Below are 25,908 nucleotides of genomic sequence, written 5' to 3'. Positions count from 1 at the left end.
ATATGGTGATACACACCTGTGGTCCCAGCTACTCGGGAGGCTGAGGTGGGAGAATCACTTGAACCCAGGTGGTTGAGGCTGCCATGAGCCACGACTGTTCCACTGCACTCTGGCCTGGGCAACAGAGCAAGACCCTGTCTCAAAAAACAAGTGTGCATGTGGCTGGGCGTGGTGGCTCACGCCTGTAATCCCAGCACTTTGGAAGGCCAAGGCGGGTGGGTCACTTGAGGTCAGGAGTTCCAGACCAGCCTGACCAACATGGCGAAAACCTGTCTCTACTAAAAATACAAAAATTAGCTCAGCGTGGTGGCAGGCGCCTGTAATCCCAGCTACTTAGGAGGCTGAGGCAGGAGAATCACTTGAACCTGGGAGGCGGAGGTTGCAATGAGCTGAGATCGTACCACTGCACTCCAGCCTGGGCAAAGAAGCAAGACTCCGCCTCAAAAAAAAGAAAAAAAAAAAAGAGTGTATGTGTGTGATACATAGGAGCACACCTTGGTACACGATGCCCAGAGTACATGATCTGTCTGCATGCCGATCTGTGTGACAATACCAGCCTGTGCCCGGTGATCCCCCTGCATTCCCCAGAACTATCTGCAAAATGGTATGTGGCTCAACATGAGAAAGACATGCTACCAAGGCCACTCCTGAGTGGATAGCCACCTTGTGGGTGAGGGATGTCCCCCAGGGAGTAAGAGTTAGCTGCTGAGAGAGTTAACAGCTGGAACAGATATGATGTCTGCACAGTACCAAAGCTCAAGAGTAAAGGTGGGGCAGTTGGTAACTGGGTGAGTAGAAATTTGTAGTCAATTTAAGCACATGGCTGGACAAGTCACTTGGTCTACTGGAGGGCCATGATCCAGTGGTGACCTTGGTCAGAACCCTTTCAGAGTGGTGCACCCCAGAGCTGTCTCTGGCTTACCAGTTAATTGATTATGTCCATACCTCCAAATAAGACGGAGAACATACTTAGACTCTACTTAAACTGTATGTTATGGGGTGAGCTGTGCACCTCTCCCTGCAAATTCATATGTTGAAGTCCTAACTCCCAGTACCTCAGGATGTGACTATATTTGGAGATTAGGTCTTTAAGGAGGTAATTAAATTAAAATGAGGTCATCAGGATGGGGCCTAATCCAATGTAACTGGCATCCTCATAAGAAGAGACAAAGACATTTATAGCGGAAAATTATGTGAAGACAAAGGGAGAGGACGGCCATCGACAAGCCAAGGAGAGAGGCCTCAGAAGAGACTAACTTGCCAATACTTTAATCTCAGACTTCTAGATAAGAGGAGACACAGGCATTTACAGAGGAAAACTCATGTGAAGACGAGGGAGGAGACAGCCATCAACAAGCAAAGGAGAGAGGCCTCAGAAGAAACTAACCTTGATCTTACACTTCTAGTCTTTAGACTTTGAGAACAAATAAATTTCTGTTAGTTAAGCCACTCGGCCTGTGGTATGTTATGGCAGCCCTAGCAAACCAATACACTGTATAACAGGAAAAAAAAAATCTAGATCTGGGTCGGGCACAGTGGCTCATGCCTGTAATCCCGGCACTTTGGGAGGCCGAAGGGGGTGGATCACCAGCCTGGCCAACATGGTGAAACCCCATCTCTACTAAAAATATAAAAATTAGCTGGGTGTGGTGGCACGCACCTGTAATCCCAGCTACTTGGGAGGCTGAGGCAGGAGAATCGCTTGAACCTGGGAGGCAGAGGTTGCAGTGAGCTGAGATCGTGCCATTGCACTCCAGCCTGGGCGACAAGAGTGAAACTCAGTCTCAAATTAAAAAAAAAAAAAAAAAAAAAATCTAGATCTGGTGCACAGGGACCTGACTTGCCACCTGGCCAGTCTCCAGATTTGGGTCAGTACACGGACTTATTTTCTCCTCGAAAGGAGAGCCAGGCAGTCCTCAAGTAAGGACCCTTCAATAACGTTACAAGTGCATCCTTTAAATCTTCCACGTGGGATCAACAGAGATTACTAAGGTATTTGCACAAGGGAAAAAGAGAAATATTCGAACTTTTGAGGAGGATTAGGCATTGGCTCTGAGATAATTCTTGGGTTCCTGATTATTGCTGTGATCCACCAGAGGGTGACATCTAGAAATGTGGCTTAAATTCATCTCACGAAGGGCACAGCATGACTGTAAAAATCTGCAGTTGTCTTCCCAGTTGCTGAGTGTATCCTTGGGATAGGTTTATTCTGCAACTGACAGAATCCACAGTTGGAATTCATGTTTCAGGGAGTGAGAACTATTACAGTAATTATGGGCTAGGTGAAAGTTTCTGGAACTTCTCCCATCCCACCAAAATTGTAAACTAAAATCAGTATTAATCCCTAGGAGATCAAAGAGATCTGCCGCCATGAGAAACCTGAAACATCCATGAGCATCTTTCATATGGTCTTATCTCACTTTCCTCTTTGGTAAAGCAGAACACAGATGAGTCTTACAGAATGATGGAAGGTTAATATAAGTTTAATTAGCCAGAGATTCTTCCAGAGGCGATCTCTCAGCTGGAGAACTACAGCACCTAGCATCAGTACTACAGAGGCAGCAAAATCTGTTTTTTTCTATCTCAGTGAACAGCGAACACAGAAGCAGGTTTCTATCTACTGGCAGAGAAAGTCACGCAGCTTCACTGTTTTGCCTCATTGCTCTGTTGACATTCTGCTTCAGTGACACTACTGAATCTACAGGGAACTTCATTATCTCACTATCTTGCAGGACATTGTTCTGGTCTACCACACCAAAGGCATTATGATAGGACTTACACAGCACAAGGTGGCGTGTATTCTAGCTGTCATGCTAAGACACAGGCATGTCAGATGGTGACAGATAAAGCCTTTCAAAATACAGTTTCTGAATGTACAATGGCCTGGTGCACAGGAAAAAGCTCATCTAAAAGGAAAGTCAAGTTTTTTACACCTTGTACCCCTTACTACTAAGAAATAGGCACAAACATCAATGAGTATGTCTGTGTGTTTCTCTGACCACTATGAGAGACCTGAAAAGGCAATAGCTTCACTCGCCAGTTATGAACAGATAAAAATTTGTGCCTAATCAGTGGCACTGCCCAATGGGATGGTACTAGCCAGAAGTGAATGAATGTGATGATATAACCTCACTCAGGGTGGAAAAGAAAAATCTGTCCAGTGAGCAGACTGTTGAGTGGTATATTTTGGGTCTATGTGGCCTATAAGGAGAGATGGCCTGAGAAACAAATATATACTGATTCACTGGCAGTGGTTAATAGTTTGAAGAGAGGGTCATCAAGAACTGGTGACATAAATATTTGGGGAAAAGTTATATAGAGTGTGAGAATATTTATACATTTTGTGAAAGTTCTCCAAAGAGCCCTGTCTTAGTCTATTGTGTTGCTAAAACAAAATACCACAAACTAGAATAAAGAATAGAAATTTACGTCCTCACAGTTGTGGAGGATGAGAAGTCCAAGATCAAGGCACCAGGCACCAGCAGGTCTGGCGAGAGTCTGATCTCTGTTTCCAAGATGGTGCCTTGAACACTGAGTCCTCCAGAGGGAAGGAATGCTGTATCCTCACACGGCAGAAGGAGGAAGGGCAAAAAGGCCTCCATCAAGCCCTTTTAAAACAACATTAAACTATTTATGAAGGCTCTGCCTTCATATGCAAATACTTTCCCCACCTTCTAACACTATTGCATTGGGGACCATTTCCAATGTGTGAATTTTGGGGGATACTTCACACCACAGCAAGCCCCATTCAGGAGAGGTTCTTATAATGAGTAAGACAAGGTGACATACCCCATGGATGCTGGCTGGCCTCTTTCCCTAGCTGCCAAAGTACCTGCTCAAAGGGCTCATAAGCAATGTGGCCATGGAGGCATGGATGAATGTTCTGCTAGGGCTCAACACAGACTTAACCTACCCAAGACTGAGCTCTGCCAAATGCCCAATTTGCCAGCAATAGCAATTAATCTGAGCCTTGCCACCAACTCTCATTTCATAGGGAGATAGGCCAGTGATGGTGGGTAGATGACATTTGACCTCTTTCATCACAGAGGAGCCAATGCCTTATCTTCACTAAAATGGAGCTTTCTTCTGGATTTGGATGTGCCCTGTATGTCTGCCATGTTTCTGCCAGCCACATCATCCACAGACTTCAGGAAGGCCTCACTTGCCATCACCACCACTGCGATTCTGACAAAGCAGCTCATTTTACAGGAAACAAAATAAGACAGTAGGCTTGTAAAATTCAATGGTCTTACAAACAATCAAGCACAGCTCAACTGCAGCTGGCCTTACTCAATGGTGGAAAGGTCTATTGAAAACTCAGTTGTGATGCAAATTATGAGGCAGGACCTTGTAGAACTGGAGTAAGGTCCTAAGGGATGCAATATAGGCTCCGACCAGCAGAACATGTGCTACCTTGGCCAGATACATGGTTCCTGGAACGAAGGACTGGAAAAGCGAGGTGACCACCTCAGCAAACGTTTACGTTCCATCCCCATGACTCTGCTTCCTTAGTACTCAAAGGATGATTATAACACAGATGATAACAATGAATCGGGCTGAAAGTTCAAAGTACCATGTGACTGTTTCAGGCTCTTTATGGCAATATACAAACAGGCCAAAGGGGAGTTGAAATGCTGGCTCATGATGAGATGAATGGAGGGAGAGAGGTATATAGACAAAAAAAAAAAAAAAAAAAAAAAAAAAATGTAATCAGTTCTACCTGGTGAAACATACCCAGTGCTAAAAGTTAACTAAAACAATGGCAATCTCATCAAGGCAGGACCACTGGCAGCTCAAATCCTGGGGGAATGAAGGTAAAGAATGCTAATCAGATGAGTTACAGGCGAAGAACACAGGGAATACAAAATAAATAGAGGAGGGAAGATACAAACATCAACTACTTATTTCACAGTTACAGAAATTAGAATGGTAGCATCTACCTACCTCACTGTCCTTTGCTGCATCATGTATTTATTTATACATCAGTTACTTTTTTGGCTGTTTCCCTACTATTTTATTTAAGGTTTGTTGGCAGTAGTTCACTTCATTATTTAGTTGAAAAGTTAACAAATATGGGCTGGGAATGAACTAGAAGGGGAGTAAACATCACTTAGAAGTCCTGGACTTGGAGCTGGGACTTGAGACTCTGGGTCATCTCTTTTGAAGGATATGTGGTGAGCACATTTCCTTTGTAGTTGGGAAAGTCAGGCTGTTAGGCAATAGCTTGTTGTTACTGATTAGAAGCTCATGGAAGAAGGAAGCCAAGAGGAAAGTTATTAGTGGATATTTGTAACTTGTGTCCACCCACTCAAAATTGTTGACCATCATCCTATGTTTTGATGACTTTCCACATTTTATAAGTGTCACTTTCCCAAGGTAAAAGCCAAACATTTTGCCTCCCCTGACTCACTTGTAACTAGGAGACAACCATGAAATCTAGTTTTGCCTTGTGGTGGACTCAAAAGGGAAAAAACAGCACAAGGCTGTGGCCACAGGCCGGGCAGTCAGTCTCTGCAGGGTGGGGCAGAGGATGAGGCTCGGCAAAGCTTCTGATACGTGGTCCTAAGCATCACAGGGAGCATGTCTCAAAGCTGTCCCCGACTCATGGCTGAGGCTGTTTTGCGTAGCTTCACAACAGGGCTCTCCAGCACTCCCCGAGATCCTATGAGCTATCTAATATCTTTAATCAACTTCTTCTCTGCTTAAGAGCCAGACCCACTCTGGCTAGTCTCAAGCAGAGAAAAAGTGAAATAAAGAATGTCAGGCAACTAAGGTTCCTGACCACAGAGGGTTTCAAGCTGGGAGCTATCACATTTTTGCCTTCAAAAGGCCACTCTGGCAGCAGAGGTGTGGATGAATTAAGAGGAAAATCACAGGCTGTGGCATTAATTTAAGAGCTGATCAAGACGGGCCTCGACCAAGGGAGTGACAAAAGGAAAAAAAAAATTAGGAGGGAAAAGGCAAAAACCACAAACCTAAACTATAAATATGCAGTTCTGTCAGTAAACACATAAAAACACACAGATAAATAAAAATCAAAAAGCACAATATCTCCTTTTTTGATTTTTGGACTGTCAGTCTGGCAAAAATTAAAAACACTGGTAATACCCAATATTGGCAAGGTTAAGAGGAAAAAACATTAGTGAGGCAGAATTGATGGGAATTGACAGTCAAGTCTTTAAAAAGCCTTATACCATTAATTTTTACTGATACTGAAATAAATTTTCAGTAACTCTTAAAAACAATGAGGCTATTGGCAATGTCTGTACTATGCTGTTCTTTGACCAAGTTTGTGAGTAATTTTCATACTCCTTTATATCATATAATTGGAAAAACAGCCTCCAAGTCATTTATGCAAATTGTTTATAAAGAAATCTCAAAGCATAAAAAATATTAATATTATTATAGCAATGAGCAAAGTCACCAGCCTAGAGACTTCAGCTTATCCAGGGTTGTATATTAAGTATATATACCCAAGTTGAGGCATATTCCAATATATGGATCTGGAAATGTAACAAAAGGTAAGGAACTCATGCAAATGAGAGAAGATATCCAATTTACACAAAAGCATAAACAATCCACATTCATCCAAACTACCTACACAGAAACAACAACTCTATTTTCAGGGAACATGAGACATAGAACTGAAGACTGAGGAGGAAATAGGCATGGCTTTTTGGTTAGTGGTTTTGAACTTGGTTTTGAAACAGGCTTAAAAGACTATAGGATCAGCTGAAAACAGGCAGTTAGATAAATGTATAGAGAGATGTTTTTGGCACTGATGACAAAGTAAAAGCATGAATCAATTTCTGTTTTTAGTGATGCTGTTAATAAACAATATAAGACGGTGGTATACCATGGCGTGTCCCTCTTGTCCCTGCAGGTGTCTAGATCTACACAGCCTAGAACAAAATGAACCTCTGTCATCAGTGAAAATCAATCCTGTGGTCGAGCTGGGTCCACAATGCTCATACCTTTTAGAAATTGACAGTTTAGCAAGAGTCTAAGCATTTATTAACCAATCCCTACCAAAATACCAATGACATTCTTCACAGAAATAGAAGAAAGTAACACTATAATTTGTATGGAACCACAAAAGACCCAAATAGCCAAAGCAACTGTGAGCAAAAGAACAAAGCTGGAAACATCATACTACCTGATTTCAAAATATACTACAAAGCTATAGTAACCACAACAGCATGGTATGGTTATAAAAACAGACACATAGAGCAATGGAACAGAATAGAGAACCCAGAAATAAGTTCACTTATTTAGAGCCAACTGATTTTTAACAAAGGTGCCAAGAACCATATTAGGGGAAAGGACACTTTCTTTAATAAATGCTGCTGGGAAAACCGGATATCCATATGCAGAAGAATGAAACTGGGCCCCTATCTCTCACTGGATACAAAAATCAACTCAAAATGAATTAAAGACTTGAATTTAAGACCCAAAAACTAAAAAACTACTAGAAGAAAACCCAGAGGAAACTCTTCAAGACATTGGTCTAGGCAAGGATTTTATGAATCAGACTTCAAAAGCACAAGCAATAAAAACAAAAATAGAAAAATGGGACTATATCAAACTAAAAATCTTCTATACAGCAAAGGAAACAATCAACAGCATGAAGAGACAACCTGTAGAATGGAAGACAGTATTTGCAAACTATTAATCTGACAAGGGACTAATGTCCATAATATACAAAGAACTCAAATAACTCAATAGCAAATAAGCGAATCTGATTTTAAAATGTGCAAAGGATTTGAATATTTCTCAAAGGAAGACATACCCATGGCCAACAAGTATATGAAACATTGCTTAACGTTATTAATCATCAGGGAAATGCAAATCAAAACCACAATTAGATATCTCACCGCAGTTAGGATGGCTATTATCAAAAAGACAAAAACTAACAAGTGCTGGCAAGGATGTGAAGAAAAAGGAACTCATATACATGATTCACGGGAATTTAAATTAGTACAACCATTATGGAGAACAATTTGGAGGTTCCTCAAAAATCTACAAATAGAATTACCATATGACCCACCAATCTCCCTACTAGGTATTTTAACAAAAGAAGAAAATCAGTATATTGAAGAGATCTGTACCCCCTTGCTTACTGCAGTGCTACTCACAATAGCTAAGATAACGGAATCAATCTAAATGTTCATCACCAGATGAATGGATAAAGAAAACGTGCTGTATGTATACACAATGGAATACTATTCAGCAATATATACAAAAAAATAAATAAATAAAATAAAATCTGTCATTCATGGTGATATGGGAGAGGGGCAAGGAAGTGCTGGGTAGAGAAGGGCAGGGTCCCTGGTGAGGGCTCCACCCTTGGGCCTGTGCCCACAGACCTAGGTGAGGACAGGCACTCCTGTTTTCACGCCCAAATGTTGTATTTTCCAAGAACACCATGGCCTACCACGCCCCCCATCTTGTGCCTATAAAACCCCCCGAGACCCTAGCGGGCACACACACAGGCGGCTGGACAACAAGAGGAGCAGAGGAACGGAAGAAGTTGTTCTGACAGGCACCAGCAGATTCCGGCAGGCCATGGACAGCGGGATAACGTGAAATTCTGCCAGGGGCAGTCGGAGAGTCCGGCAGCTGGGCGGCCCAACTCCAGGGGAAGACCACCTTCCCACTAGATCCCCCTTCTGGCCTCTCCATTCACCTCGCGGAGAGCCACCTCCACTCAGTAAAACCTTGCACCCATTCTCCAAGCCCACGTGTGATCCAGTATTTCCGGTACACCAAGGCAAGAACCCGGGATACAGAAAGCCCTCTGTCCTTGAGATAAGGCAGAGGGCCTAATCGAGTAGATTAACGCAACCCGCCTGCAGACGGCTAAACTGAAAAAGCACATTGTAACACACGCCCACTGGGGCTTGAGGATCTGTAAACACTCAACCCTAGACGCTGCTGCAGGATTGGAGCCCATGCTTCCTATGAACTGCCCGTCTGTATGTTCCCCTAAGGGTTGAGCCGCAGGGCACCGATGACACATCCCCATCCCACGCCCTGTTTCAGGGATAAGGTATCTTTTCCTGTTTCAATAGCAACACGGATGAGCCCAAAGGAAATTAAGTGAAGTAAGTCCGGCACACATACACGATGGAATACTACTCAGCCATAAAAAGGAATGAATTAATGGCATTCTCAGCAACCTGGATGGGACTTGAGACTATTATTCTAAGTGAAGTAACTCAGGAATGGAAAGCCAAACTTGTAAGTGGGAGCTAAACTATGACGATGCAAAGGCATTAAGAATGGCACAATAGACTTTGGGGACTCAGAGAGAAAGGTGGGGAAGGGAGTGAGGGATAAAAGACTACAAATCAGGTTTAGTGTATACTGCTTGGGTGATGGGTGCACCAAAATCTCACAAATCACCACTTAAGAACTTACTACTATAACCAAAAAAAAAAAAAGAAAAAAGAAAAATAGATATATAGACATATTAAAATTTGATGATGTAATCAGAAAATAAGAAAATAAAATATCACATGTTCTCACTCATATGTAGAAGCTATTTATTAAAAAAATTGAGCTCATACAATCAGAGTTGTGAGTATTAGAAGACTAGGAAGGATGGGGAAGGGAAGGATAGGAAGAGGTTAGCTAATGGATATAAGACTACCACTAGAGTAAGTTCTAGTGTTCTATAGCACTATAGGGTAAATATGGTTAACATTAATTTATTGTATATTTTTTAAAAAAACATAAGTGAGGATTTTAAATGCTCACAACACAAAGAAATGATAAATGCTCAGGTGATAGATATGCTAATTACTCTAATTTGAAAATTACACATTGTATACACGTATCAAAATATCACTCTGTATCCTATGAATGTGTACAATTATTAAGTCTACTAAAAATAAAAAAACCTTAAAAATAAAAAACAATCCTTTAAACAATTTACAGTTTCCTTAGGAATGTTTTATTTGCTATTTTTATACATTTTGCCTACCATTAAAAGTCCTGAGGGCTCTTCAGTTAATTTTCTTTACCCAAACAAAGTATCTTCATTAGGACATATTTTTAAAATGTATCACTATACTAACATGACAGTCAGAGTCAAACATAATTGCCATCTCTACGGAGCAGAAATTCTATTTATTTTTTGTCCAAAATCAAAGTGCTCTGTGCCTACCTTTTAAGGACAAGGGATTGGATCTTGTGAATTCTGCATTTGATGGCCTGTGCTGTTTGCGAACTTCCAAGTACTCCTGAACTCTTGAATCAATGGTTTCTTTTAACAGTAAACAGACTTCCTAAAGCAAATAAAAAATTAGATATAACCTTCAAATTTAATGCAAAAAAATTAACATATATATTAAAAAGTTAACAATGAACATTTCATTTCATTTTGCTTTTTAATTTAGCTGTGAATGTTGAAAGGAATGTCATATGTGCTCATGAATAACACCGCAAATTTAAATTTGCTACTGAAGTTTGCTCGAAACCATGATGTTGGCTCACTGTGTGATCTGGGAAAGTCATTTCATTTCTTTCTGCCTCAGTTTCATATTTCTAAAAGAAAGATAAAAATATTTCAGTGTAAACATCAGGGCAAGGAGGTAATAAGTATGGTAAAGAATGCTTTCATATAAGTATCAATCAGTTGTACTGTGACAAATAGAAGAAATAAGTCAAGAAGAGCCAACACTGGCTGGCATCAAGGGCCCCAGGGAAACACCCAGTGTGGCCAGGGGACTGTAGACAGGGATGGGGCCAGGAGTAAGGGCATATTCATCCACTGCTGGTGCAACGGCATGGGGAACCCACACCACAGCCCAGTCAACAGCAAGCAGCCCCCCATGGTTTTAGGGGACTGTTTCATGTTTATAGGCACAGTGTTGCTAGATCTTTGTTCAAAAGGAGTCAGAAACAGTAATTTTTATATAAACTATCCCATTTTTCAAACTTGGTCTAAAAATTTTTAAAAATCTAAACACCATCATTCATTAGTTTCTGGTCTTGGGTTTACAAATCTACTCAAGAAGGAAACTGTTGAGCAGTGAGTTAAGCAGAGAACTGGAAATCACTAATCCTATTTTCTTCTACGCTCTTGTTGATGATACTGTATATGCCTTTGTTTTTGTAAAAACGTACTACACTCATGTACTAACAGTGAAAATAATATAATTTCTCTAAAGTAGATTAACATTTATTAGGCGACAGAAACACATGGTTTTAATTCAATTTCAGTATTCCTTATCACTAGTAAGTTTCAGGATAGGTCAATTGTTTTATTGTTTTGGTGTTATTTATAATAAAGGTAAACAAAAATTTAAGCCCAACACAATGGGAAGATACTCTTTGCAGTTGTTTCCTGCACTAACAGGAAATTGTGACCTAATGTAGAAAAAGAGAGTAAAATCATACACAAATCTAAATTTCTTAATTTAGATTAAGAACTGATGTATAAGAACTGATGATTCCTGTTTAATTCCCAAAGACTGCAGAAAACTCAGAGTTGCCCAGGTCACCTCAAACCTGTTTTGCTGGTTTCTTGCAATGTCATCTCAGGTTGATCTCTTAGAATCTTCACAAATTAAAACAACAAAATTTTTAGCTGTTCTAAAGAGCAATGATAGCAAAACTTTTCCTTTATTAAAAACACTTGTACTCCTCAAACAATATAGAAAACCCTTGATTTAACTCATGAGTGTGAGTTTCTAGATAAAGTACAAACACTGGTTTCCTCTCTCCTGCTTTTCATGTTGCAGCCTAAAGATGCAGTGCCTCATGGAATACAGAGATATCCCTTTACAGTTGAGTGTTTCGGCATTGTTCACACAACAAAAAGGCAGCCTTGCCGCCTCATAGGTTTTTTTTTTTTTAAAAAACAATTAAAGAATTTTGCTTCACATGCAGAGTTCAACTATGACTGGGCTAGAAAATATGTGAAAGACATACATGGAAACAAGGATTGCTAAAATTTGGCTATAAATGCCCTATAAGGCTAAAACTAAAAATAGCATGACAAAAATAAAGCAAAGGCTCATACACACAAACTTTCTCCCTCTAGCTGTGGGGCTTTCCTTCTGTGAGTCAGTTTGACGAATGCAAGGTAGACCAAGTGCAGTGTGATAGACACCAGTAACCGACCACACCACACGTCATGAAGCTTTCTCTTCAGAACCACAACAATGCAAGAAAAGAAAACTTCTCAGCTACCTTTGAGGGGCAGATAAGAAGAACAAGTTAAAATCAGTGCTCAAGACAGAGATGCAGAGGGCATCTCTAGGCTAACGGGCTGTGCTCGCTTCCTCGAGTTGACACATGGAACAGTTTGACTTCAACTGTTTGGGTACAAAGACTACTCGTGCTGCACTCAAAATAAACATATGTTAATACATGTAATTAGTTCTTTTTTCTAAAAAGGAACTGGATATTCTTAGGCTTTCACTGTATAAAATGACTGTTAAAATGGAATCAAATTGGTTGCTCATAAAATCCCAATCATGAGAGGATCTAAGGATAAAGAAGATGAAAGCCTGGGGACACTGAACCTAAGCTAAAGTCATAGCCTTTCTTCAACTAGCTTTTCTCCTTTCTTACGCACACACAAATGATCCCAGAGGAATTTTAACATCAGCGAATTGTTTTTTTTTTTTTTTTTTTTTGAGACAGGGTCTCACTCTGCCACCCATGGTGGAGTTCAGTGGCATGATCACAACTCTCACTGCAGCCTTAACCTCCTGGGCTCAAGTGATCCCCCCACCTCAGCCTCCAGAGTAGCTGGGATTCCAGACACAAGCCACCACATCTGGCTAATTTTTATACTTTTTATAGAGATGGGGGTTCACCATGTTGCCCAGGCTGGTCTTGAACTCCTAGACTCAGGCAATCCGCCTGCCTTGGGCTCCCAAAGTGCTGGGATTACAGGTGTGTGTCACTGCACCTGGCCAATATACATTTTAAAAGGGCAAATTAAAGAAGCAGCAGCAAACCGACCATTTGGTTTTGAGAGGCAAGCTCAGCCTGCTACAGCGACCTGCCCCTTGCAGCTGCCAGTGCAGCACTGCTCTGCAGGTCCTGTCATGCACTGCACAGCTTTGCTAAGTCATGCCCTGCTGCCCTCAAGTAGGTACTATGAGCATCCACGCAGCTGCATGTGGCTCCTAAAAAAACAAAAACCTAGCCTCACGCTTTGGCTATGAGGTGATTCACACACCCAGGGCTTTATTCTAAAGCATTCCAAATTAACTGAATCTTGGGCAAAACGGACTCAATATTAACAAGAAAGGTCTAAGGCCGATAAAGGTCTAAGGTGGCAAAGCCGAAAGGGAATGGAGAACAGGCCTGGAATGGTGGATTCCATAACATTGTTAATTTAAGTCAAGTCAGAAGATTTTGGGGTGAGGTCCCCTTGGGTGACTATTGGTCACTTTGGGGAAACGAGTGAACAGTTTTGAATCACAGCAACATGCGTTAGTAAGCTAGGAGTGGAATTATATGAAGGTAAGTGGCAGTAGGAGATGTTGATTGACTTGCTAAATATTTAAAAGTCCTGAAGAGAAGAGTCCACAGTTATTTACCTGAATGATAAATCCCACCATACAGAACCTTGTGCCTTCCTTTTCTCAGCTTTAGGTCACCAGGTATTCTTTGCAAAATAATGACAGCAAAGTCTTGATAATATTATCCTTTGAATGAAAATGTATTATCCTATAAAATCTTTTTTGGGGGGTGGGGATCTTTTTTCTAGTGAGCTCCAAAAGCTAATTAAAAGCAATTATCACAGAAAAGGGTGGCTTTTTGTTTTTTCACCACTGTCAATAGTTTCTTCGCCATATACTATATTTTAACAAATCTGATTTTTATTTCTCAGTCTAAAAAGCAACTGTGGTAAATGGACATCACGGATAATGATATTTTTAAAGGTGTGTAAAAGCCACAAGCTGGTTACTCCTGCTCTCTGGTGAGCAGGGATCAGAGAAGGAGGCAAAGCAATGGTGAGAGCTCAGTGCAGCTTGTAAGCCTCCACCACAAGCAGCACTTGGGTGGGATTGTTGAAACTTAGAACCAGGAGTGAATTTGGCATCTAGGCAAACCTCTTCACTTTCAGATGAGGAGGCTGAGGCTCAGTGAAGTCCAGCATCATGCTCTGCTAAGCCCCCGGCTACTGGCTTTCCTGACTGACCATTGTGAGAAGGAACACCGTCAAGTATTTCCTGACTTGTCAAAGGCTCATGATAATACAAGGATGATAGAAAATAAAAGCTGAGGCTTTAAGATGGGTGTGAAGGTTCAGCCTTGTGTTAACTGCCACACCTGCTTCAGGTGCTCAGGCCATCCTTCACAACCAGTCAGGTTAAAATCCCTGATTACTGAAATAGTCACTTTAACTTCTTCTTCTTCTTCTCCTCTTTTTGAATATATAGAAATCCTTCCCCCAAAACAAAGAGGTATAAAATGTCTGGTTTAAATAATACAGTATCATATGAAGTTTATGAATGTGTCAGTTTCTGAAGGAAAAAAAAAGTGGGTGCATATGTGTCTGTCATTGGGAATACAATTGTTTTTCAAGGATTAAATACGCAACATTTTTTTCCCACTAACAGAAATGAAAGCTGGAAAGAGCTGATATTTCTTATAGCAGCAGCAGCTACTTGCAATTAAATAGTAGAAAGTTTTGTTGTACCTCTTTCTTCTGTTCAGAAAACCAGCTTGTATCTTTGTTTGAACCTTGTGGCAAGATATGAAGATCCACGAGGACAGCAAAATTCCCACACTGAAAGACATTAATGGCAGAGTCAGTGTCTGTGCGGCTCATGCCCAGCAAACAATGAGAGAAAATCTCACAAATTCCTATGTGGTTGCTCATGATGAAATGGCAACAAAGTTCACTACTAGACAGAACTTTTAATAAAGAACATGGTTACAGGTCATAATCTACTACTTTCCCTAAGTTTAACATTTACAGTGGAAATGCTAAGGAGAGATGCAATGTTAATCAAGACAGGAAAGACAAAATATCTGTCTCTGGGCTGCACCTTGAAAGGGGATGTCCAAGCATCCCGGCAGCAGTTGGAAGACGTGAAGCATCGAGAGAAGTTAAATAGGTCAGTACTAGGTAGGCTCCACAAAAGAATGATTCCATGCACAGCCAGGGGAATTCTTTCTTCTAAGCAGCAAATAACAGATATAAGATACTGCATTTTTAGACGGACAAAAGGATTGGCTAGGACGGTACACTTTGGAATTGAAATAGGAACATGGAAGAATGAGAAATAAGCAAGAAGATAAAGATACATACTGAATGCTAGTTAACAAAACAAAACAAAATTCATTAAAGTATGCTACAAAACTGTACAAAGCCTGACTCTGTTCTTATTCTATAGGCTAGCGCTGTCCAGCACTTTAGAAAATAATGGAAATATTCTATATATATGCTGTTCAATAAGATAGCCATATGTGGCCGTATGTGGCCATATGTGGCTGCTGAGCACTTAAAATGTGGCTATTGTAACTGATAAGCTACATTTTTAATAAAATTTAAATTAAATTTAAGTAGCTACATGTAGCTAGTGGTTCCATACTGGATAGCACAGTTACAGACCCTGTGAAAAGTTGTTGCCTTATAAATCCTCACATATGAGTGAAGTAATTTCTGAGAATCACAAGATAACTGTGAACAAACTAATTTGGTAAGGAATGGGACACCAAGGTTGGGGATGGTCTGAGAGACCCAGAGATTCGGTTTATGAGACTCAGAGGTTCAGTTTTTTCACTTCCTTGGCTGGACAGTTTTGTTTTTTTTTTTTTAAATTCTGTCCTATATATCAACAGTGAAAGGAAAGTAGTTTCAACAAATGGTTAGACCATCAGATGTAAATATAAAGTGAAACTTGACACCTACCTCACGCTATATACAAAATTTAATTTGAGATGGATCACACACCTAGACAAAAAAGCCAAAACTATCTTCCTGATCTTTGGAATAGGAAAAGATTTCTTAGGATCCAGAAAGCACCAAATATTGAGAAAAATAGTTGTAAAATTGTTAAATTTTCAAAATTAAAAATTTCTGTTAACGAAAAAAGCACCACTAATAAAATAAATAGGTATGTTACAGACTGGGAGAAATGTATTTATGTATTCAAAAATACATGTATCTGGCAAAAAGGACTGGTACCCAAAATATGTAAAGAACTCCTACAAACTGATATTTTTAAAAAAAGCAAAACAAAAAACCTGAGTTTGAATAGACACTTCACAAATAGGATAAATGAATGGCTAATAAGAAAATGAAAAAAGTGTTCAATATCATTAGTCATCAGGCAAATTAAAATTAAAACCACCAAGAGATACAACTACAATACCCACCAGAATGACTACAGTTAAAAAGACTGACATAACATGAAATGTTGGTAAGGATATGGAACAACCCAGACTCTCATACTTTCCCAGTGGAAATGTAAGATGGTCTAACCACTCTGGCAAATGGGTTTGTCAGTTTCCTGTAGCTAAACGTACATTTACTTATCAACTGAGCCAATGATTCCTTCCCAGGTGTTTACTCAAGAGAGATGAAGTATATGTGCACACAAAGACTTGTATGCAAATATTCATGGAAGTTTTATTTATAATAACCCAACGTGAAGACAACCCAAAAGTCTACAACAAGAGAACAAATTGTGCCATATTCATGCAAGGGAACACTACTCACCACACTACCGATAGACTCAACATGTATTCATCTCAAAAACATTAGGTTGAGCAAAAGAAACCAGACCAAAATAACATATACTGTATGGTTCCATCTATATATAATTCTAAAACAGCAAAATCAACGTGTGATGAAAGGAATCAAAACAGTAATTTCCCAGGGGGGTAAAAAACTGGGTGAGAACTGTCACAAAGGAACTTTGTATGTGATAAGACTATTCTGTATCTTGATGGGGTATGTTATGTATACACTGCAATCAGTTCCTTTCACTATATTTAAATTATACATCAATAATAAACAATTTTTAAACACTGTGTAAAATGCACTCATACTTGTTGGCAGTTATTTAAAATGTAGGTATTACGTCCCTGAAAATGTGTGGGAGACCCAAATGAAGTTTACCAGGTAATAAACTGTGAAGCATGTTGAAAGATGGTTTCCTACGATGTAAAAGAGTGCACTTTAGTGTGTTACAGTTTAGTGTGTTGCAACCAGCATTTTATTTTAATGAAAGAGAACTGAAGATAATATTAGAATGCAATACAAAATATCAATGTGTCATATGGTTAGATCAAGAATTGTTTTGTGAAATGTAAGTAAGTGTGTACTCAGTTATGATGGAAAGCCTATTTCTTATTGTGGGTTGTAATAAAAAATGTTTGAAAACCACTCAAGTATACTGTTAAAGTCCTTCTCAACTGTTGGTTACAGAATTTAACCTTTAAGGAGTATGCTGCCACCAGGTGGAGGTCGCATGCCACAACTACAGGATCTTAGCCACGGAATATTAACCTTTCCTGTGCCATGGACTTATTTAGCCAACTGTGAAGCTGATGAAAGTTGCTCAGAATAATATTTTTAAATGCATGAAACACAACACATAGGATTAACAAGAAAACCAATTACACTGAAGTACAGTTATCTTAACGAAAGAAAAATTTGAGACATAGGAATGTATGTCCTTGTTTATTAAGGCATTGGGTCTTGTCACATAGTGATGGATCTAGTACTACTACAAATCTGAAGTGGCGATAAGCATAAATGATATCTTCATTATCTGCAACAACCTTAATGTAATATGAAAAGAGCTATAATTTCTAATGGTGACAAATACTGCTAATATTATTCATATTTTGATTATGAATCCCACGTTCATAATAAAAAGGAAAACTAAATTTACTAGAACTTGATCACAATAAAGACGTAACTTTTTCCCATGCAAGTTCACTGGCCTCTGAATTCAATCACAGGCCCATTGAAGTTCCAAGGATTCTGGAATAAAAGCCCTTCCAAAGCGGTAAAACATGTCTCAACACATTTTATTGCAGGTTCCTACAGGTGCTCTTTCCTGATTTTTTAATCTAAACCAAGTTCACTGCTACCTTTTCATTAGCAAAACTAATTGTTTTTTTTTCTTGTAACCCTCCTACCACCGCAAAACTAATTCTTTAAAAAAAAAAAGGGGGTGGGGGGAGGGGAATCTTAAGCTTAAGCAACTTGAATTGATACTGTAACAGCAGCTTGCTGAAGAATTAACCTAATAGTAAGGTCCAATTTGGTATTTTTCTCACCATTTTGTGACTTTGATCACAAATAACCTAGTCTAAGTTTGAAAATAAACAGATTGAGTAGAATGTCTCTTTTTAGAAAAATAAATTGTCAAATCTTACTGTGGTGAGCAGACTTTCCTGGGGTTTCTGGAAGCCTCCACTGTTTGGCAGGCAGTCCCCTCCCCCGCAGGGGGCTCTCCCTCTGCAGCCTGCAGTTCTGAGCTCTCTCAACTCCCTCCCACACTAGGCAGAGGTATTCTGCCTTTCCAAAGTTCCCTGCTCTCAAAGCTTTGCTTCTTGTCACTCATGAGAAAACAGAAGTGAAAAAAAAAAAGAAAAAAAAAAGAAAAGAAAGCTTCTTACACTGCCAGCAGCACAGCCTCCCTTTCTCCTCCTCCTAATTAGGAGAAGGTTATTTCTAGTCTCAGAAGATCAACTCTCCAGCTTTCTTCTGAGAGAAGCAACATGGTAACCATCACTTCTTTCTCAGCCCAGAACTGGTCACTCTGCAGAGGCCAAGCCACCTCTTGAGCAACCATCAGGCTGCTAGGAATAGCTTCACATTGCATGCACTGGGCTGCGAGTCCCCCAGCCAGGGTCTGGTCTGGCTTCTATCCCCTCCACCCAGAGGATTCAGCCAACAACAGGGGTGTCACCCCCAACTCCTCCCTTCCCCTAACCCTCCAGAATCAGTCACGCATCTTGTCCATTTTAATTTTTTAGAGCGTTCTCACACACACTTCTCTCTTGCTCTGCTGCTCCTATCTTCTCCCACTTGGAAGATTACAGTCACTTCTGTTGGTGTCCTGGATGAACCCTCAATGCATATCTGGGAAATCTCTAACCTATAAATCGGATCAGTCCACTCCTGCTGCAGCTCAGAGCAGCAACTCACAAGCTCTAATGAGGCCCATGTCTTTGTCTCCTGCACCTGACGTTTTCATCCTTGGCTTACATTACAACTTGCCTCGCTGCTTCCATGCTTGTTGAGATCCTATGCATCCTCGAACCCTAGCAGGAGTGTGGTCAACTCTGTGAAGCTATTCTGAACAGTTTCTCTTTCCCTGCTCTGGACCAGCCCATTCTTCATGTGATTATTTATTTCTACATTAAGTGACTGGTCCATGTAGGGCCCCCATCCTAGGCTATAAGCCATGGAGACAGGTCTATACCTCTGCCAATCTTGCATCCCCAGTGACCAACACACTACCAGCCCTCAGTGAATACTTAATATTTAATGAAAGGAAGACAAATGAAAAAAACAAATGACAGAACAAGTTAGCCCCAAGAATTGGGCAAATCACAGCCTTGTCTGCAAAGGGAGAGCTCTAAGCCCTTTCCAGGGACCAAGCCGTTACTATTCGGCCCAGTGCACTGATACATCATAGAACAACTTCCTCTCTCCCTATTCTGGAGTAGCGACAACTCTGCCATCAGCAACAACAAGCAGTCATTTTTCATATTTCGTGAAATGGGAATACAAGAATCTTAGGATTACTTCACTGGAAACTCACTGCCAACTGAACGTGTTGGTTATTTTTCCTATCTCTTTCCTAAGAATTCCAGAGGTGCAACTCACACTATTTCCAAGTCCTCGGAGGTGGGAGGTCTTGTCTTCTGTGTTTACATTAAATATAAGAATAAAGGTGAAAATATTAACATTTCTCACCCACAAAGCCATCTCTGGAGCAGACTCAGAACTCTTAAGAGATGTAGAAAGGTCCCCACATTCTCTCATGCACTCATTGATCATCTGAAACACCTGCTGAGTTTCACAGGGGCACTAGCCAGGCCCTGAGAGAGGGAGGGGCAGCAGCTGGGCACTGTGGCATGTGTGACCACGGCACATACCCAAGTACCAGAGGGAGCGGAGTGACAGCTCTGCCTGAGGAAGGTGAGGGAAGGGGAGGTGGTGTCGCAGTCAAGTACTGAGGAACAGGGAAAGGAGTGCAGAAGGAAAAATGAATAACGCCCCATGCAGAGAAAGAGCTCGCGTGCTTTGGAGACGGAAAAGAGTCTCAATGCAGAAACACAGGGCATTGCTGGCAGATGGGGCCAATAGGGCAGGAAGGCTCAGGCCACAGAGGGGCCCTGGACAGGCTGAGGAGGCTGGTGGGCTGGAGGGCTCTCTTGGGTAGGAGTGTGGAGCATGGGCGGGCAAGGGGAAATCACTGGAGCCAGGCAGACAGGTTCAAAGCCACTGCAGGAACCCAAATAAGAGATCAAGCAAGGTGATCTCGAGGTGAAGGGGAAGGGGCACATTTGAGGGACACTCAGAAGACAGAAGTAAGAGGATGTGGTTGGGTGTGAGGGAGAGGAAGGACAAGGGTGAGGCCCAAGGCATGTGGTCCGTTTCTACCACGCCCACTGGGTTTCCAGAGGCAGCTTACATACATGGGTCTGTCGCTGAGAAGCCACACAAATCGTCATTGGCATTTTACACCTACCTGGCATTGAGGGTATAAGGCAGCTTCAAGTAACGAGGCAAAGATTAAAAATGGGGAGAATAAGTAAAAGCAAACAAGGGTAAAAACATAAGATGAAACCGATGATAGGCCTGCACGAAATTCCCACCATAGTCCCAAGTCTCTGCAACATCTGGCTCTGAGATTCCTAGGTACAAATGTGAAAAATACAGCACCAATCAGAGTCAAGAAGATGAGAAGGAATTCATGCTGAGGATAACTGAATCATTTCTGATACTACAGCTAGAAAGAGTTTCTCCTAAAGGCTTCCTCAGAAGACATGGAAATTTTCTTCCTGGAGTGTGAATTTTACAAAAAAGTTCTAGAAAACATATTAAATATTTTCATATTACCACAAACTGCATATATCTTACAATGCAAAATTTTATAGTGATGTGATTAAACAATCACAGTTTAAAATATTGATTGCCATTTACAGAGCACCTATGTTCCAGGCACTGTGCTAAGTTTTACTCAGAGCATTCAATTAAATCCTTGCCACTCTGGTGAAGGAGCACAATGATTATTTGCATTTCGTAGATAAGGAAGCTGAATTCGGGAAGGTCTAGTCCAAGATTACACAGGCAGTGAGTGCCAGACCCAGGAATCAAATCCAGATCTGAGAGACTCCACATTGCCAGACATTACTCTGAGGAAATTTAACCCCTGTGGAAGGCTACTCAGGACACACTTCCAGCCTCATGTGGGAGCACGTTTAGGCTGTCTAGCCTGGAACCCACTCCCCTTTATTTGGGAGCTGGCCCCTATCCCCTCTAGGTGAGCAATGGCAGCCAAGTGTGCCCTAAAACAGCCTACGCCTTAGTGCCTGGTGACTGCACCAGGGATTCTCAACAGGGTCCCACAGCTCCTTTCCCTGGGCAGCCTGATTCCATGTCTGATTCCATTCCAACACAGATACGGAGAGCTCACTGTAGGGCCCCATGCCACTGTAGGGCCCCATGCTGAAACACAAGTGCAGTGAGGCAGTGAAAGCCTCACTGTAGAAAGAACGAGGTGGGAGGGGTGGTTAGGGAAAAGAAAAGGTGAAGAGGGGAAAGAAAAGAATGCAGCAGAGGATGACAGCAATAAACCCTGCAAGAGGTGGGGTAGAGCTGTGAGGGTAGAAGAGAAGTCTCCTAACATTAAGAATCCCTATCCAGAGAGTTAAAAGCTGAAGAAAAGTCAATGCAAGTGTGTTGTCAATTGAATTCCCTTGGCCAGTTACTCACGTGAAACACTGGCCCAGGAAATCCAAGCTTGTAGTTTACATATAAGAAAGGGAACCAGCATACCTTTTGGATGGCATACTCAGTAAACTAGCAGACAGGTCAGGAGATGGGAGAATAAAGAGTCATTCTGTTGGAATATGCTATATATTTAGTCCAATTGCAAAAATCTACTAATGGTGAACAAGCTGGCAATAACAATAAGATTCATGGAGCGCTTGTGTGCCAGACTTGGTGTCAAGCCCTTTCTGTACATTATTGCATTTAATTCTCGTGACAACTCACAAAGCAGAAACTATTACCCCTTGGCGTTCTGGAAACACTGAGAAATTTAAAAGCACTCTTTCTCTTTTAGGAGATCGCTGGTGATCATGACTGGGTTTTGTTTGGTGCGGTGCCTTGCCAACCTGGCAATACTTGTCAGGTGGGGTACAAGGAACACTCCATAATCTCAGTAACAGAATTAGACACAGCCTGAATATGAGATCATAACACACAAAGAAGGCCTGGAGAGGCCGGGTGTGGTGGCTCACACCTGTAATCCCAGCACTCTGTGAGGCCAAGGCGGGAGGATCACAAGGTCAGGAGATTGAGACCATCCTGGCTAACATGGTGAAACCCCGTCTCTACTAAAAATACAAAAAAATTAGCCGGGCGTGGTGGCGGGCGCCTGTAGTCCCAGCTACTCGGGAGGCTGAGGCAGGAGAATGGCATGAACCCGGGAGGCGGAGCTTGCAGTGAGCCGAGATCATGCCACTGCACTCCAGCCTGGGCGACAGAGCGAGACTCCGTTTCAGAAAAAAAAAAGAAGCCCTGGAGAAAGCCCTTTGATGACTAATAGGAGAATGTCCTGGTGCAGGAAGTCCAAAGACCATGAATCTCTTCTAATAATGCCCCAGTTTAGGAGGCGTTGAACCACCTCCTTTCTCTACTGTCAGTTTCCCTATATACAAAATGAGTGGACTGAACTAAATTGCCTTCAAGGTGCCTTCCCTTTAAGATCTCATCTCCTGGTCATTTTGGTTTGCAACCATTTACTTGGATTCTACCTGCACACATAGTGTCTGTCCTCCTGTGGAGGTTATAAAAGTGTCACACTGAGACTAGCACCTCATACTGTCCTCTGTCAGTCCACTATGGGCCATCCACCAGGTGGCCTTTGTGGAGGAGCTGCCTTCTGTTACCTTTGGGTTGTCAATGTCTAGTACTGGGTCTGGCACACAGATGGTCGTGAAGAGTGTTTGTTAAGTGAAAACATATATCAGTGATGAAAATTAAGTGGCTGGCTTATTCTCTCTCTAGGAGGGATTACCTCCCTCTCACCTGCACCCTGAACGCAGGAAAAAAAACACTGCAGAATCAAGCTAATGGTTTACAACTAAGGTTGCCCCAGGTATGCACAGAATACTGTCACTCGTGAATTGGAATGGCTATTTCCCCACTTTCCAGTCAATCAGGCAGAACAAGATGCAAGTACAAAGCCCTGGTTGACAATGTGAATCCAGACCAATTAAAGGAAACTTCCTTGGTTGCAAATGGATGACTAGTTCTTTAAGCTTGAGTTTTTCGGGTTAAAGGGATGCTTGGGAGAGTGTGACTTGTCTGAGGTGAAAAGGACTCAGGAGGGGAGGGAGCTCCTGTCTCCTGTTCAGTGTCTGTTGTGGGACCTCTGACTACAGGTCAAGGATGTGTAACTTCCCAGTCACTTGTTTTCCACAACAGATTTATTACTATGGTTGGGGAAGGATTCTACAAAGATAAAAACACAAAGGAAAGAGAAAGAAAGATGAGGGAAAAGCAGAACAAATGACTTTGACAGCAGCTTCTAAAAGGAGGAGAAAATCAAATAAGAGGCTGTGATGTCCTTCAGTAAATCATCTCTGGTATCCTACTGAGAAAGAGTTTTGAGTTTTGACCCAGAGTGCTGTAGGGTGGCTCACAGTCTCCCTGGGTAAGATTTGAGATGGGAGGCAAAGTACTGCGTGGAATAAAGCAATGGTCAACCATGTTATTATGAAGGGCTACTTAAATTTAACATATGCCCCTGGGACCCTGGGGTAGAATTCCAGGCTGAATCACAAACTCTCAAAGCCATCACTGCATGAAGAATACATTTGGGAATAGGCTCTCTGGGGGTCCCTTCGAAAGATGAGAACTGATTTCATTTCTTTAGACCCTCCCTAATGGTTTTCAGGACATGATTATTTCAAGTATAAACCTGCAGGTACCTTCCCTCAGTCGACTGGTCAGTGGCATAGACACAGCAGGTGTGGCAATGAGTAAAACAGTGGCCTGGTTCAGCACAGACCTGACTTCAAATCCTAGCCCTGAGCCTCAGTGGCTCTGAGACACAGGTTAAGTTCCTCCAACATAAAATGGAGATAGCAATGAAAACTACATCATGGTTTTATTTTGAGGATGACATGAGACAATGTGGGCATGAGGCTTCTGCACCATGCCAGCCATACAAAGGGCTCAAGGAAGAAATATTGGCTGCTTTTCTCTTTTTTTTCTCCAAAGGTAGAATTTGTCTTAAATTCCAAAGACTTTCAAATGAATTCTGAACTGTTAGTTCCATAAGATTTACAGATAGGTAGGGCAGAGGTTTCCACCTATTCCTATTAAGAGCCAATAAATGCCTCATAATTCTTCTGCACGGTTTTACTCCGGCCACACACTGCTTCTACGAAAAAGAGCAGATGGCTTGTAATCACACCACATTACAAGTAAAACTATGAACTCTCCTCTTACATATTTCTGCAAGAGAGCACATGAAATGAAAAGACAACCTGACAGAAACTGCAATGTACTCGTCCGTAAGGCCCCTGACTTGAGAGGGTGCAAAGTGGCTGGGAAACAAGCATCACTCATATTTAGTGACATTTATGCTGGTCAGGAGCATGTTCTGGATCAATTATGGCATCTATAATCTGAAACAGGAGTATGGGAAACAACAGGAATATCAGCACCCACAAATTTTGTCCACTACTTGATCTAACATGTGTGATCATGAGGCATTGGAATGTGGCTTTGATTTTAAACTAAGAATTAACATGTTAGAAAATATTCTTTAATATTTGTGAAGAATCCTGACATGAAAGAAAAGCTTTTCAGTTTATGAGTTAGAGGAATTTATGACAAACTACATATGAGTCAAAGAAAACCCCTGTAAATATTCCCCTAGTAATCAACATCTAGGTTGGCAGATTGTTCTAAAGGGTGGCCAGTTTTGGAGGGAGATTTCTTGAAGCAGGAAGGAAGAGGAAAGACAGGTAGCATAATTTTCCTACCTCTGTGGGTGGAACCAAAGTGTCTTTGATAAATACTTTGGGGATTCTGGATGACTTAGAGGAATTCAGTTTATTTGTTTATAGGTAAAATAATTTAAGGAATCCCCCCCACAGTGGTAATTTTTCCCTGGAATCTTCTCATTTACTTTCTAATACAACAAAGGACTTGCCAGATAAAGCTATGACAGGTACTCTCTGCTCAATCCAGCTGTCATTTAATTTTTTCTGGGGTATTAGCATTGTATGAGTACTGCTTTGTTTTTTGTTTTTTAATGTACAGCTGTGTCACAGAATGAGTACTGTGTATCAAGGGGGCTACACATTTACTCTTTTAAAGCGGGTGTCAACTTTGACAGGCCAAAGATAGGGCTAAGTGTGACCTTTACAGGAGACAAAACAGCATTGAAGTATGTGGCTGCAAACTAAAACACAACCTCAGAATGAGGAGTTTCTACTATTTCAGGGCTCAGGGTTACCAGAACCTTGGAGAGCCCCAACAAAGTCAAGTGCTAGGCCTGTTTGTACCCTTGGCCACACTTACCATCCTGGCTCTGCTAGTTCAGGAAAGCTCTCTGTGTGTACGACCTTAGGGATATTTACCCACTAGAGCCTCAAGCCTAGACTACCGGTTCTCAGAGTACCAGCAGCCGGTTCCCAGAGTACCAGCAGCCACAGCATCTC

General features: G+C 41.4%; 1 protein-coding gene across 1 annotated transcript in view, besides 2 other annotated features; it reads right to left on the bottom strand.

Moving 5' to 3' along the window:
- The window catches only part of SLX4IP (SLX4 interacting protein), a 192,726-nt gene that overhangs the window by 57,042 nt on the left and 109,776 nt on the right, over positions 1 to 25,908 (bottom strand). Inside the window, exons 3-4 of the mRNA NM_001009608.3 lie at positions 14,669 to 14,758; positions 10,169 to 10,289 (exon numbers count right to left, since the gene is read on the bottom strand). Of these exons, the coding sequence (NP_001009608.1) occupies positions 10,169 to 10,289; positions 14,669 to 14,758 (211 nt within the window). The remainder of the gene's footprint in view (positions 1 to 10,168; positions 10,290 to 14,668; positions 14,759 to 25,908) is intronic.
- Positions 11,867 to 12,246: an enhancer, noted in NCBI's record as "active region_17547". NCBI's record gives its function as "activates an Ori minimal core promoter by ATAC-STARR-seq in GM12878 lymphoblastoid cells {active_cell/tissue: GM12878}" and the evidence as "EXISTENCE:reporter gene assay evidence [ECO:0000049][PMID:35858748]".
- Positions 21,459 to 21,959: an enhancer, noted in NCBI's record as "H3K27ac hESC enhancer chr20:10529678-10530178 (GRCh37/hg19 assembly coordinates)". NCBI's record gives its function as "activates a minimal SCP1, AML or CMV promoter by ChIP-STARR-seq in naive H9 embryonic stem cells {active_cell/tissue: H9 hESC(naive)}" and the evidence as "EXISTENCE:reporter gene assay evidence [ECO:0000049][PMID:30033119]".

Source organism: Homo sapiens, chromosome 20 (assembly GCF_000001405.40).
Source record: "Homo sapiens chromosome 20, GRCh38.p14 Primary Assembly".
NCBI lineage: Eukaryota > Metazoa > Chordata > Mammalia > Primates > Hominidae > Homo > Homo sapiens.
The sequence above is the reverse complement of the archived record's forward strand: the minus strand, read 5'-3'. Positions and strand labels throughout refer to the sequence as shown.